This window comes from Homo sapiens, chromosome 7, assembly GCF_000001405.40.
Source record: "Homo sapiens chromosome 7, GRCh38.p14 Primary Assembly".
Taxonomy (NCBI): domain Eukaryota; kingdom Metazoa; phylum Chordata; class Mammalia; order Primates; family Hominidae; genus Homo; species Homo sapiens.
The window spans coordinates 19,497,731-19,514,827 of record NC_000007.14 but is presented as its reverse complement, the minus strand read 5'-3'; positions in this window follow the sequence as shown (position 1 = coordinate 19,514,827).

The following is a 17,097-nucleotide window of genomic DNA, read 5'->3' as shown; positions in this document are numbered from 1 at the left end:
ATTGGGTGGCCACACAAAGCCAACAACTTCTGAGCAATGGAGAAAGTTTTTTTATTAAAGTACTCATATATTTTGTTTTTGCAAAAAAAATCAAAATGGTCCATTTTACTAGTCTCAGGATTGCTACTCAGTGCAAAGAGAGAGTTCAAAGAGGAAACACTGTTGCATAGCGTGTACTTGAGAATCCCGTAGTTGTGTCATGGCTGGGCATTTATTTGCAAAGGCAGATTGAGAACAATACCAACAATGAAAGCAATAGACAAAGATATGAATTGATGTATGTCTTAACCTGACTGACTGTACAGAGTAATTGACTGCTCTGCAGTTCATTAAAAAATAAAATTATTTCAATAATTAATTCTGAAAGGCAGAACAAATAATTGAATTGTACAAAATGAAGATGATGAAAAGGAAAACAGAATCTATGGCAGCAAGGTAGAAAAATTTCCTTCAGTCAAATCAAATTAAGGGGTTCAGCAAGAGACAAAGATGATTATTGAATTTTTTAATTATGTTCTTATATATTGTTATAAACTTTAGAAGGTTCATTCCACATTCCAACTACTAAAAACTGTAACATCAGCCAAAATATTCAGAAATCTCATTCATAAAGAGAAAAGACAAGATAATTTGGCTAGTTCATTTCCTTTCAAAAATTCAAAATATTACTTGTGAGTGAAATAAAATAATGAGATAAGAATTATGTAACTAACAGCGGGGTAATGTTTTTCCTCATTGCTAGGCCTTGATCTGAGCTATGTGGACACAAGGCAGAATAATTATGCAAATACCACCACAAAGTCCATGCTATATTTCTAAGCACTGTGCTTTACTTGTAGATGAAGCTTTGGAAACTTGGTTTAGAAAAATAGGTAGTCACATTTATTATTTTAGAAAAATACCAGAAGCTATTATAACAGAGTTTCAAAAACTGAAAATGCAAAATGAAAGATACAGCAGCTCGGCTGCTGACTTTGAAGCTAGAGAAAGGGGCTGTGAACCAAGGAATGCAGGCAACATTTAGAGGCTGGAAAAAGGTAAGCAGATATAGTCTTTCCTAGTGCATCCAGAAGAAATGCAGACCTGCCCACAACTTGATTTTGATCCAGTAAAACTCATTGCAGAATTATGACTTTCATAACCATAAGATAATTTGTGTTGTTTTAAGCCACTATATTTGTGATGATTTGTTATGGCTGCAATAAAAAATTAATAATCTGTAATTTTATTTACAAGTATCTTTTGCAGTTTGACATTTTAATTTTACTAATTGTGCCACTTTTCTATGACAAAGTATTACAATTTTTATATAATCCAGCAGATCACTGTTATCCCATACACTAATAGAGTTTGAATGATATGAAAGTTTTCCCCATGCTCCAAATATAGGGGAATTCACACATGATTTTATTTTCTAGTACTTGTATGGCTCTCTTCTTAAGTTTAAACTACTAATCCATGCCAAATTTATCTTGGTATATGGTATAAAGAATGAATCCAATATTTTCTTTGTCTATAAGGCTATTCCTTTTTTATATTTAATATTTTTTTCTTCTCCTTGATTTGTTTTGCTACCTATAGCATATTCAAAATTTCCATAGATAATTGGTTCTGTTTCTGGATTTTATATTTTTTGTTCCATTCGTCTGCTTAGCATGAGCCAATACCAAATGGTTTTAATTACATAGGTTTTTACATGAGATTTTTTAATGCCTGTATGGCCAGATCCCTTCATAACCCTTTTGTATTACTGCTTTCTTAGCTATTTATATTTATTCTTCCAAACAAATTTCATAGTCTACACTTACATTTAAAAAATGAATAATATTTCTATTCGGATTGCATTTTATTTTTAAATTAGCTTGGGGAGAACTGACATTTTTATGATGCTAGATATTACTATCCAAGAACATGGTGCATCTTTCCACTTCTCCAAGTCTACTCATAATTTTCAGGAATGTGACTTAGTTTCTTGACAGATATACTGGATTTTCCTTAAGTTTACATACAGATTTTTTTCTTATTATGGTAAATCAAACATTCAGTTTCATATTTTCTATCTTGTATTTGTGTGTAACTTGTATGTTTTCATATATAATTTTCTAAATTGCTACTTTATTCAATTGTTTTTATTTTTCCATTAGTTCTTTTGGGGTTTCCAAGCATATATTCATGTGTCTGTAAATAGAATTAGAACTTTTTTAGAAACTACTAATTGCTTTACCTAATAGGCAAATACTTCCAAAGGTATGCTAAATAGTACAGATAATGAACATTCTTGTCTTTTTCTTTAGTGCGGAAATATCTATTGATTCCATGTCAAGTAAGAAACTAGCTTTGGGGCTAGTTTTTTTGGGGGCTGAGATTATTTTTATATTCCAAACTACATGCTCTAGCCATCTATCTCTAGCTATTTATGTTTATCTATCTATCTAGTCACATAAGAAATGATATACCCCAATTCCTGTCTTATGGAGTGTTTTTAAGATGACTGGGTGCTGAATTTTGTCAAATATACTTTCTTCAAATGTGAAGATGAGCATGTGATTCTGAATTTCTCAAATAAATCTTATTTAGTCATGATGTACTATTTTTTAGATTTGCTAATAGACTATATATTAATATTTAAGTTTTTTACATTTATATGCACAAGAGACATTGGCCAATAGGTTTTTTTCATTGGTGAGTTTTGATTAATGTATTTACTTCATGAAATTAGCTGGAATGTATTTTTGCTTTTCCTATTCTCTGCAATTGTTTGAACAGCATTCATATTATTTAATCTTGTAAGGTTTTATAGAATACTGCAGTAAAGTCACATGACTCTGGTGCTTTTATGTGGAATAACTCTAAATACATTCTCTATTTATTCTATTGCCATTGATCTGTTTTAGATTGGTTATCCTTACTGGGATCAATTTTGGTGTGTCTGAAATAACAATTTAATTTAGGTTTTCAAATAGAGTTATAGAATGTCTCTTAAGACTTGCTTAAATTAACTCTTTTGATGACTATGTCCCACTTTGTGGTTGCTAATTTTGTGTATCTGGTTTTTTTTTCCTTTTATTTGTTCGAAGTTTAGCCAATGGTTTTTCAATTTTGTTGCTTTTCTAGTTTACTGATTCTCCATTTCCTAACTAGTTAACTACTGTTTTTTTAACCTTTATTAAACTGTCTTCTACTTTTCTTTGCTTTACTCACTGTTTTTCTAGATTTTGAGTTGAGGATTTAACTTATTTTATAGTTTTTATTGGTACAATTATTTCATTTAAAAAATTTACTAATTTTTTTAGCTGTATCCCCAAAATTCTGATGTCATATTGTTCTTACCTTTGTTTCTAAAAATATCCTTCATTTTTCACTTTGAAATTGCCCTTTAGTCATTGACAATGTATTTCTTCCTCTAGGTAGAGAAAATTTTAATTTTTTGTTAGTAATTTTTAGATTTACTGTCTTATAGTAAGTGACTGCCTTTGGGTTGTTTCTGTTGTTTTAATTGGTTGAGGTTTTCTGTGAAAGGAAGATATATTATTTATTAACACAGTTCAGTATTTGTATTTATCTATTAGAAGTATTTTATTTTGTCATCATTATCTTGGTTTCTTTGTCCATTCGACCCATCTTTGAAGGAGTTACTTAAGTTAAAATCTCCCTTTATTGGTGTGTCTTTCTATGTGCATCTTCTGTTGCTTCTGCTTTAGGAAGTTTGCTAGAATATTACATAATTTTTTTAAATTTTTATTCGTACCCCAGACATTAAAAAGTATTCTTTCTTATGTCTTTTAAACCATTTTGGACTGGATTCTACCTAATTTGATATCAATTTCATGAGCCTTGCTTTCATTTCATTTGCAATTGCCTTTCATGTATTATTGTCCTCTCATTTTAATTCTTTATAATCTCTGTTTTTTGTGTTTGTCTCATACAAGCATATTTAAGCAGTTAATCAGTTAAATGTTAATTTTTGGACAATCTAAAACTGTCTTTTAATAGATTTAGATTTTTTGAGATTCGATTAAAACTTATTGGTATGATTGATGTTTTATTCTTAATTTTCTCACATTCTGTTATATTTGAATATGTCTCCAAAGATATATCCTTTCCCTGTGTGCTCTTTTATGTTTGCTTCTGTTTTTCTTTTTACTCCTTCTTGCCATCACCCTCCTTTCTCCTTTTCTTTTACTCTTCCTTTCCCCCATTCTTCCTTCTTGTCAATATCATTATATAATAATCTTTTTTAGGCTACCATCTATTTATGCCATTCTATGGGCAAAATTGTCAATAATAACTTCTACTCCTTTTACTTTTTCTCCCCCAGCATCCTATGTTAAGTATATTCTTTTACTACCATTAATACTGATTAGTGATTAGAAAGTCTGTTTAAATTTTCTTGTTTTTTCTCCTCACCCTCTAGTTTTGATAGTTATATTACAGCTGTGTAATTAAAGCAAACCACCATTACATACCGTGATATATTATCTTCCTTATAACCATCATGTAGCATTGATTTACAGAATAATATAGATTTAACATTTATAACTATCTTAATTTTGATGTCTCTCCAGGCTTTTTTGTTGTGTAAAGTTTACTATTATTATATTTTCCAGGAAATACTCATAGGAGCAATAATTTCTGAATCTTTATATATTCACAAAATTTGAGTGGTTTATTTGCTTGCTATTGAGTGGTTTTACTTCTGTAAATATTTTGATTATTAATCTTTTATCAGATGTGTGGTTTGCAAATATTTTCTTCCACTCCGTAGGTTGTCTCTTCTGAGTCTTAATATGTATTGCACATGTTCCTAAACCATTCCAAACTCGCACTCTAAGCAGAATCAGATTACACAGCAGAATACAGAACTTTTCATAGGTTCAGGCCACAAATAGTATTTCTAGTTACAAAAAGCCACTGCTTCTGTATTGCAAAAGAAAATAACAGATTGGCTGCATAGACTACCAGGTATGTCTGCTTTACCTTGATAATTGAAACCCTGCTGTCAAGCAAAACTATATCCTTTGGTGTTACACTGGTTTGGGATCTGGTCAATTAAAATTTGTGTGTTTAATTCCCTTAACATACACCTGCAATATCATGAAGGCTACACAGGTGTAACTTCGGAAGTTTGATTGATATTTGCAGGTCACCTCTCAAAGCTCAGTTAAAGCATTTCAGGCCGGGCGCGGTGGCTCACGCCTGTAATCCCAGCACTTTGGGAGGCCGAGGCGGGCAGATCACGAGGTCAGGAGATTGAGACCATCCTGGCTAACACGGTGAAACCCCGTCTCTACTAAAAATACATAAAAAGTGAGCCGGGCGTGGTGGCGGGCGCCCGTAGTCCCAGCTACTCGGGAGGCTGAGGCAGGAGGATGGCGTGAACTCCGGAGGCGGAGCTTGCAGTAAGCCGAGATCACGCCACTGCACCTCAGCCTGGGCGAGAGAGCAAGACTCCAAATCAAAAAAAAAAAAAAAAAAGCATTTCAAATTAGACATTTTTTTGCACTCCCGACTGCCTCTTTCAGTCTGAAGAAGAACAACGTGCACAGGAGTTAGAATGATTTTTACAAAGGACGCCAGTAGTGTTGTGGATTGGGGAGGAAAGTGAACAGTAGAGAAACAAAACCAAAAAAATGATTTGTTACCATTTAAAAATGCTGCTGGATTTGCCATCAGAGTTGCAGTGCAGCTTCATATACGCAAACACAAGCCTCTTTTAAGAAGAATCTTTGTGTCTGAACAGAAAGTATTTTGTCTTCGCAGGCAGGAAAACTAATGCAGGGCTTACCCAGAGATATGTTTTTCACCATGTGGCCAGGACAATAAACATGGGGCTTTTGATCTGTGTGGCAATAGTGGCTGAGCTGGAGTTCTAAAAAGAGAAAAATGGGAAACAAATCTGCCAGGGGTGAGTGTGTGCCCTTGGGGTACTTTTGCATGTCTAAAGTTCACCAAGGAAAGCAAGAGAGATTTCAAATAAACATGTCTAAAGGGGTCATAAAGAACTTAACCAGTGTGATTGCTTAAATCTCAATGTCAAAACACAGAAATGCATGGCCTACATCACATGAAACTTCTTTGGCCCCAGGTTTATAAATTAAACCTCTTTCAAACTCCTGTTTTTACAAACATAAATTTATAAATGCCTTTCCTCCTTACCACCATCTTCAAACTATGAATAACAGCAAAATTTTCTGTTACTGCAGGTGAAATAGTTTTGTAACTAACATGGGGGCAACAAGGATACTCATAATGAATCTTTTCTAATTTTCACGAGGACACAATTGTACACCATTGTCATAATATCGGTGTCCTTTTAACTTGTTCTTTAAAAGGTTATCCAAGAAATCATTGCAATCTATTATGTTACATACTACCTTCATTTTCAAATCAAAATGCCAAAGTGAAGCACAGTTTATTTCAGCAATGTTGAAATAGAGTGCTGTTATTAGAAAATGTGAGTGGGTTGAAGTGGGACTCCCTGCGAAGTTAACTTGGCAGAGTTAGAGTTCCTGGCTCAACCTAATATTAAAAGTGAGTCATCAGTTTACCCTCACAGCAGGGTCTTCACTTTGTACTTCTCAATCTGAGCGACTCAACAGTGGGGCCAAATATTCAAGGTTAGTTTCTATAATTAGTAATCAAGTGAAGAAAATCCCTTGAGATTTTATTATTCATAAATTCCTAAATATTACTGTCTAATAAATAATATGACAAATAAGAATCTACCTCATAGAAACTTAGTTTGCACATTCAGTACGACTTATCTCTAGTAGAGGCCAAAGTTGTCTCTGTTCACATGAAAGAGTTTTTACCCTTTATGTCCATTAAGATAAATTTGAAATGCAACAGTTTCATGCATTTCTGCTCCTATGTAAGCCAACATTTTTGGAAGAAAAAATTCAGTAATTATTGTGTGCTCATATAAAGATACATATTAGAACTATCATGACTTTGTAATACTTCTGGTTTTAATAAAGAACAAAGAAAAAATGTTTTAAAGATTATTTTCTTACTTTAAGAATTTGAGTGCAATTTACTTTACCTTTTATTTAATACACTAAATGTAAGAGATACAGCATGGTATTTAATCCAAACTCAGTAAATACTTATTTTTCAATATAGCCTTAAAATGTCTTGGTAAAACAACGTATTTCCTACTCCTTACCAGAGCATGCCTATTCAAAAGTGAAATAACATGTATTATCTTAAAAAATATATAACATTGACAATTTTTAAAAGGTTAGTATAAGTTCCCTGGTAGCATTTTAAAAAGATCGTGCATTTTAAGTTTTTGTTCACACATTATGTATACCTATAATCTCCCATAGCCATACACATGTATATTTGAAACATACTTTCTTAGAATAGCAGAGAAAACCCTTCATAAGTTAGACCTCATCTGAATTTCCAGCATGGCCCAAATGATTTGCAGTCATGAACTCCAGCTACAGAAATCTAATCTGCAACAGGCTTTCTCAGGCTTTGCATCTGTGCACACACTGGCTCACCTTCCAGGACTACCTTCATCACTCTTCTACCTGGGACCCTGATACGTATCTTTAAAACCCTGTTCAAGTATTATCATGACGCTTTTTGGATCCATTAACACATATTATAATATTAATTACAATGTGTTTTAATTAGTTGCTAAAACTTTTTTTTTTTTTTTTTTTTTTTTTTTGAGACGGAGTCTCCCCCTGTTGCCCAGGCTGGAGTGCAGTGGCGCGATCTCGGCTCACTGCAAGCTCCGCCTCCCGGGTTCACGCCATTCTCCTACCTCAACCTCCTGAGTAGCTGGGACTACAGGCGCCCGCCACCACGCCCGGCTAATTTTTTGTATTTTTAGTAGAGACGGGGTTTCACCGTGTTAGCCAGGATGCTCTCGATCTCCTGACCTCCTGATCCGCCCGCCTCGGCCTCCCAAAGTGCTGGGATTATGCGTCCGGCGAGTTGCTAAAACTTCTGCCTCCAGCACACTACTTCTAGAATAAATGGCTTCAATATGTCCTTGTCTCTGTCCATTCTATTTCCTGCCCTTCACCATTAAGAAACACTGAATATCCCATAAGAGATGTTCCATGCTGGTACATGGGGACAGTAAGCTTATACATCACTCAGTTTCCTGTGAGACATCTCGCAGTGCTTCATTTTGCACTCCACCTATTCCTTGCTATCTAACTGAACATCTCATATGATCCCCTACCAACTTTTTAAATTCCCACCATCAAAAAAAAAAAATCCTATTGGCCCTTTTATGGAGACTGCGTTAAATATATAAATTTTAAGTGGAACCTGATATCTTTACTTGGTAACACTTGTCAATCAGTAAGTTCTGTTTCCGTTCATTCTAGTCTTCCTAGAATTTCATTAAAGTTTTGAAGTTTCTTCATATAGGGCCTATGTATTTCTTGTTAAAATTATTCCTAGTTATTTTATATTTTTATTTTCATTTTGAATTGTATCTTGTTAGCTTTATATTTTTAGTCAAGTTTTGGCAGTTGATGGTTGAATGTTGAGTATTTTAACTTATATGTAATTTTTATTAGTTCTGACAGATTGTTAGCTTATTTGATTGCATTATCTAAGTAGACAACCCTATACATCACGATGATTTTGTGTACTCTTTTTCTATATGTATGCCTCTTTTTGTCTGCTATATTGTATTACTTATAAATTCTAATACTATTAAAATTAGGTTTGATATTAAATGGCCTAAACTTTTAATATGTTTTTATTTGGAATTTATATTTTCGTAGAAATAATTTTATTGTAATTACCAAACTAGTATTCATATTACATGTTACAGTACTTTCAGATATATTTAAAAATCTCTTTGAATATGAAAGTTCTGTGTTATTTTTCTGAAGTTTTTCTTTTATGTCATTAGCTCAGTTTTTCTGTCAGTCATTCCAATATTTATCAATTTATAGTTAATTTCCATCTTTATCTTAATAATCCTTCTTCCCATTCAGTCTAGTTTGTTCTGCTGTTCTTGTTCCATCTTCTTGAGTTTAACGTTTAGTTTATTTTTACTTTTTTCTTATTTGTGGAAGAAAAGATTTAGAGTTAAGATTTTTTAAGATTTTAACTCTGATGAGAGGTAGTCTAATAGCTCCTATGGCTTTGATACAGTAGGTTCTAAATGTTGCGAATTCCTAATTGTTCTCTAACTGATTTTTATTTGTTCTAAAATTTATGAAGGAGAGTGTTTTTGTTTTGTTTACAATCTGAAGTGACAGCGACACTTATATTTGTTATTCATAGTTTATTTCATTTAATGTTTTTGATCAGGTAAGAGCTGGAAAATCTCTGCATATTTTGATGTATTGTCTATGACTCAAAACATGATCTTTTTTTTCAAACTTCTCCACGACTGGGAACAACGTGAACACTATTTATAATACATAGAATACATATACATATATACATATACACATATGTATACATACATATATCTGTACATGTATATAAAACATGTAATTTACATATGTCTGATATATAACATCATAATTTTTATATATACACATACATAATTAATAGCAATACCCATTATGGCTTGCTGTTATAAACAAGGGCTCTGGACTTATACTGCCTGACTTTAGATCTCCATCCATATTTTTATAACAGCATAACCCTCAGTTAATACTAGGGTTGTTTGAGTAATAAATATTAAACTATGTGAAGGATATAACCTACTGTGTGATATGTAAGAGGTCAGTAAATATTGCCAGTAATTACTATTACTGTTTTCTGCACAATTGACTTGTCAAAGTTCAGAAGATGTGAGTTTCAATTCTCCTGAGTTGACATCAATTCGCATTTACAAATGCATAAAAAAAGAATTTGTCCTTAAGGTTTAAATGATTTAAGTTTTGATATTTTGGGATTTTGAAATTATATAACTCAGTTTTTAAATATCATTGAACATTTGAGTGTACCTATATTAAAATACGTCAAGTGCGGAACATTTCTAGAAATTGTGTTAATAAATAGCTTGGTTTGTTGAGGTTACGTTTATTGAAAAAAAGGAGATTAAATGGACAACCAACATCTACAATTTCCTATGACTTAAGCTCTGTCTTGGAAAAAAGATTTAAACAGACATCTGCATAATTTTAGTTTTCGTTTTTTATATTAATAGTTCACCAGCATCAAGAACAATTTTTATTTTATGAAATTATCTAGTTTAATGAAGTCACACCAGAACCTATGGGTAAAAGTCAGACTTCTGACTGAATATCTAATCCCATGTGACAGTTTCTTTCAGGAAACAACACTACATTCTGTAGAGTTTCTGGCAAGCCTTCAGTAAAGGTCATAGAAGTTAAGTGTTCCAGCAGTGAACCTAACTTTTAGTAGCCTTCAAAGGACTTCCCCAGGTTTCGTCCTGTACATTACAACAGAGAATATCAAAGGCATCCCTTAAAATATTTTTGCAGTTAATTTTGACCACCTTTCCATTTTAGTCATTCAAATATTACTAAACTTTAGGCTAGTTTAAGCTGTACTGAGTATAAAAAGATAAACGCATAAATGGTAACAAATTGTATTTCTTCCTTTTTCCTCTACCAACTATACCCTTTCTTCCAACTTTAGTCTGAGAAAGAATAAGAGCCTTATTTGTTCTAATCTATTTCATATTTTTTCAAAGTATAGTTTTTCAAAGTATATTTTTTAACTTGAAATTTTTTGAAATGTAGCAGACTTACAGATAAACTCACTTCTCACAAGTGTATAACTTGATATATTTTAATAAACCATACACACCCATTTAATCAGTAGCCAGGTCAATAAACATTTCCAGGACCTTTAAGCTCTTTTGTGCCTCTTCCAGTCACGGTCCATGACCTATCCCCCAAGAGTATCCACTTTCTCCACTTTTACCAGGATAGATTAGTTCTGTTTTATAACTTTAAATTTTCCATGTAATCAAATGGTATGTACTCTTTTGCTCTTCATTATGTTGGTGAGATTGAAAATATTCTCCAAGTACTTGTAGAATATACATTTTCATTGCTATATAGTCTTCTGCTGTATGACTATAGTAAATTATTTACCCATTTTGCAAAAATCAATTATCCACATAAATGTAAGTGTATATGGGTATGGTATTCTGGCCCAATCATCCCTGTGTGTATCCTTTTCCAATTCCATATTGCCTTCATTAATATAGACTTATAATAAATCCTGCTATAAGTGTTAATGTCCCTTTTCTAATTGTTTTTGTTGTACAAGATTGTCTTGAATGTCTGAGTTTTTGAACTTCCATATACATTTCTGAAAATCTTTCTCTCCCTTCTAAAAGATTATCTTAACTGAAATTGTTTGGAGTGTCTTGGAATTTATGGATGAATTTGAGAGAAAATTGGGGAGTATCTTTATGATAATTAGTCTTTCAATCTGTGATTATGTTTTCTCTCTCAATTTTGGTATTCGTTAATTTTCTCAATAATATTTGGTAGTTTACAGTGTAGGGATATTTCCTTAGATGTATTCATAGGCGTTTGATATTTCTTAATGTACTTTTAAATTGTATTAATATTAAATTTTTTTATATAAATATAACTGATTTTGGAATATATAATTATATACCTTAATCATGAATTTGTTTATTAAAACTTCTATCTTTTCTATAGATTTATGTAAAGAAAAATATCAAGAGCTCTACGAATAGTGCTTTATTTCTGCCAGAAATTATACATTTTTTAAAGAAAATCCTATCTTCATATTTGAAACATAAGAACAAGAAAATTATAAGTGTAACATGAGCCTAGTAGAGTAACACCCAGTACACCCTTTGCCCAATCCACTGTTTACATTTTGTCCCAAATGCTTTATCATTCTCTCCTCTCTTTTCTCCTTTCCTCTTCTCTTCACTCTATCTTGTGTTTGTACGTGCATATATGTATACATATATTGACATACATGTATAGACATTTACATTTATACATATAGACTTATATATATGGTCAGAAACATGTCCCTATAACAACAAATACTTTAGTACATATTTTCTGAAAACAATAACTCTTTTTTTAAGTTCCAGGGTACCTCTGCAGGATGTGTGGGTTTGTTACATAATTAAACGTGTACTATGGTGATTTGCTACACCTGTCAACTCATCAGCTAGCTATTAAGCCCAGCATGCATTAGCTAGTTTTTCTGATTCTCTCCCTCCCCTCAACCCTCTTGACAGGCCCCAGTGTGTGTTGTTCACCTTCCTGTGTCTATATGTTCACATTGTTCAGCTCCCACTTACATAACTCAGAACATGGAGTGTTTGCTTCTCTGTTCCTGTGTTAATTTGCTGAGATAATAGCTTCCAGCTCCAACCATGACCCTGCAAAGGATCATGATCTCCTTCCTTTTTATGGCTGCATAGTATTCCGTGGTGTACATATACCACATTTTTTTAATCCCATGTATCATTAATGGGCATTTGGGTGGATTCTAACAAGGACATTTCCTTAATGACCACAGGAAAATAATCAACATCAGGAACCTTAATATAGTAATTACAATATTATCTAGTAAATAGGACATATTCAAATGTCAATTGTCCTAATAATGTCCTTTATAGTTCATTTTTCCATTGTCCAGAATCAAAAGTTGTTATTCATTGCCTCTGGTTATCATGTATTTTATTGAAAGTCAAGTTTACTGGGGAATAATTTACATATAGTAAAATTCATTGATATCAGACATCCAGCTTTATGAGTTTTAATAACTGAATACAGTTGTTTAACAACCACAAATATCAATGTTTATTTCCAGAACTGTAAAATGTTTCCCTATAATATTTTATATGAAATCATCTTCCCCATCTCCAGCCTCTCATAACCACTGATTTTATTCTTGTCTCTATAGTTTTTTCATTTTTAGAATTTCTTATAAAATGAATTGTACATTATTGTATCTGAGTTCTTTCAGGAAAAAAGCTATACATTGAAAAGCATAAGGTATTGATGAAAGTAATTGTAGGAGACACAAATATAAAGATATCCTATATCCATGGATTCGAAGAATTAATATTGTCAAAATGTTCATACTGCTCAAAGTGATCTGCAGATTCAGTACAATCCCTATCAAAATCCCAGTGTCATTTTCACAGACACAAGTTCTTTTGTAGATTATTTGAAATTTCCTACATAGACAATTATGTCATCTGTGAATAAAGATGTTTTTATTTCTCCCTTCCAATTTTTATGCTGTTCTTTTTTATTGCACTGACTAGATATCTAGCATAACGATTCACAATGATAAAACATCTTGCCTTATTCTTGGTCTTAGAAGGAAAGCATTGTCGTTCACCATTAAGTGGATATTAGCTATAGATTTTCGGTAGATCCTCTTTATCAAGTCAAAGATCCCTTCAATTAGTTGAGAGTTTTTGTCATGAATGGACACGGAATTTTTACAACTGTTTGTCTGAATCTGTTGAAATAATTATGTGGGTTTTTGTCTTTAGTTTGTTGATATGATAAATTGCATTGATTGATTTCTTACTGTTGAAACATCCTTGCATTTTGGGGGATAAATCCCATTTGGTCATGCCATGCCTTTTTAATCTCCTTTAAACTGGAAGAGTTCTGAATTCTTTGTTTTTTCTTGACATTTCAAGTTTTGACAAAGACAAAAGCCAGTTATTCTGTAGAAATCCTATTCATTTGGGGGTTTCTAATATTTCCTCATGATTAGATTCAGGCTACTCATTTTTAGAATGCCATTGATGTAACACTGTTGCTTCTCAGTGATTCAAATTAGAATGCACATATTTTCTTTCTGATTTTGGTGAGATTAACACTATCACTTGATTTAGGTAACATCTACCAGATCTCTTCTTGATTAAATTATGTTAACTTATAATAACTAATTTGGGTGATAAATCTTGAGGCTATGTAAATATCTTACTCCTCAAATTTTAATCAACTACTTTAATCGTCCACTTTTGAATTTCGAACCCCATTCTTCCTTCCATCTTAATTAAAATTTTACAATATAAAAGAACTTTCCTTTCTTCTTTATTCACTTATTTAATCAATGCATTTATAGATTCAAGTATCATTCAGTTGTTTATAATCTATTACTGTTACTTGGCTTCTGTGTCCTTTTAATATATACTCTTAGTTCTTTGAACATTTCCTTAATTTATTATAGTGCAAAAAATATTTTCAGGCTCATCCTGTACTTTTCCTTTCTCAGCCCTGTAATCAGGTATTTCTCTAAGAAGCCTTGGTTCTTTTTAATGATAATAGTATTTAGAACAGGTACTGCACAATAGCTGTACTCTGATTGGCTAGTAAATCATTGATTCCACGCTATCTTAGTATATACATACACATGTACATATATACATACCTATGAGATACACGTATTTATCTACATCTTCATATATACTTGCACATATATATACACATATATATACACATGTACATATAGGTGTGTACATATATATATGTAATTAGTTAATTCAATTAAAATCCAACAGGACAGGATTATTCTAGTCTCTCCATTTTTATATTTGTAACTTCCTTCTTTGAGTGAGAAAACTGTCTCCCGTTATCAATATATGTATACATTTTTTAAGCCTAGAATATACAATGATTTTAAGATTGCAAACCCACAGTAATGTAAGCACATCAACCAATTAGTAAGCCTTTTTGAGGTTTAATTTTCATACACTGAAAGGCACAATTGCTGTGTGCAATTTGATGATTTTATGAGAAAACTCTAAACTCAGTAATATCCTGGAGCTAGCTCATACTGGCTTGTAAGAGCTGATTACTAATTTTCCAGAATTTAATTGTTTTAAACACAGTTATTCTTAAAAATGAAATGATGTAAACTTACAACTATGTGTATAATATTGACCATAAAGACAATAAATACTCTAATGTTTCCTTCTTACTTATTATATATTACTATTGTTTATACCCTTGAGGTTATTTATGTCTATTGTATCTCTGTTGTGAGAATACTTTAATAATGTGTTATTGTGCATTTCTTCCCAATTTGTGTTCAGTGATGTCATGTTAGCAGCTTGAAATTGTCCATCATAGGAGTATTTATACCACAGAAATGGACAAATGCTAAAAATTAGCACTTGATTCATTATTTGCTCATTGTCTAGACTTAGAAAGTAATGGAAAAATGTTAATATAACAAACTAAATTTAAAATAGGGTTGTACCCATATCCTTTACATAGCAAATAGCACAAAAATTTGAGGTAATGCTATTTGGTATTCAAAAATGCTACTCTTATTCAGCAAATAAAATACTCTCGTCATTGATGAACAAATAAAAATGGATGATCAAAATAAAAAACGGAGGTAATTGAAGACCAGATTTTCCTTACTCTCATCCATATCCTGGTTTCCTTCACAACTGTCATTCTTGCTAGACTGCAAGATCAACATAAGATGCAGAGGTACTTCCCCAAATTTCATAAGGCTGGACCTTCTAAACCCTGGAGGAAATCATTTGGTCTGTCATCTATAGTTGTTCTAATTCTCTGATTAAATACCAACTGGTATGTTAGGTTATGATTTTCATCCATTTTAATGGCAACATTTTTCTGATGAGTTGTTACCTATAGGAAACTTATGCCAATTATTTTCATCTTTAAAAAAAATAGATAGGGTCTCACTCAGTAGCCCAGGCTGAAGTGCAGTGCTACTATCATAGCTCACGGTAGCCTCAAACTCCTGGGCTCAAATGATCCTCCTGCCTCAGCATCCCAAGAGGCTGGGAATATGGTCATGTGACATCACATGTGTATACATATCTTTTAAATTTTTGTAGAAATGGGGGGTCTCGCCACATTGCCCATGCTGGTCTTGAACTCCTGATCTCAAGCGATCCTCTCATGTCCGCATCCCAAGTAGCTGGGATTACACACGTGAGTCTATGCTGTGCTAGACTTCACGTTTTCTTACATAGTATCTTAGCATGTTGTTGAATGTATCCTTTTTTCATTACTATTTTTTAATAAATTATATTTCCCAGAATTATTTTCCAGTGCTTTCTCTAAGGATTGGAGTTAGATTAAGATATCTGTCCAAACTACACAAATATAAGAGCTCTCTTCTGTTGCTACAAGATGACCCATGGTCTTAAATTGAGGTTCCTCTATGTAACCATTTCTCCTCTGAACCTCATAACTTAGGCTAGTAGAGGAGAGTTTATACCACCAGTTTTAAGTTTTACTATTTTCTTTACAAACTGCATCTCAGGTTACTGTTATCAAGGGACACACAGCCTTTGTCTTCCAAGATGATGGCATCACGGTTACGTGTATTTGGCTAGTGCTTTTGAAATTAGCAACTTCCTTGCCCCACCGAATACTTTCTAGGCCTTCTTCCTCAAACTCGCTGTGCCAGGGTCATGTTAGGTCTCAGCCTTGCTGCTAGCATCTCTACCCTAGAGTGGGTTCTCTTTTTCTAGAAATGAATACTTGTTAAACTTTCTCAGCTGTGCCACTGACCAATCTGATAATTAATGAAAACGGAGCAATTTGGCAACTAATAAAGAGGGAGGATTAAGACATTAAACTAGTCAGCCCTAGATTAGGAAAATACTATCAGCTCTCTCAAAAGTCTTCATAGTGTAAACTAAAAGCCTGCTAGATTTTGTTGTAATTAATTTAAAATTTAACCTTTAAAACTATTTCTAAACTCTATCCCATTAAAATGTACTAGGGAGTGAACTGATCATATAATATACCTTGTGTTCTGAGTTTCTGTCTCCATTCCAGTGCTTCCATTTCAATGTGGCCCCTTACTTAAGGCTCTATGTCTATTCCCCGACACCACACATAAAGGTGTCACATTCATTTAGATCTTAGTTGCATGCCAGTTGTTCTAATTAGGAATAGAAACTTGTAGAAGTGCCCCCCTCCTGGCTTTTTCTACTGTGCCCTAGCACCCCATCTCCCTATCCACTGCCAACCCTACCCACCCACATCTGTAAAATTATGTTGTCCCTAAGCTCCATCTTCCACGCATAAAAAGAGAATGCTACTTTAAGCAAAATAGGATGGTTTCTGTGTTAGAACTGAGAAATTCCACACTTGGTCAAATTTTATATATTGGTAGACC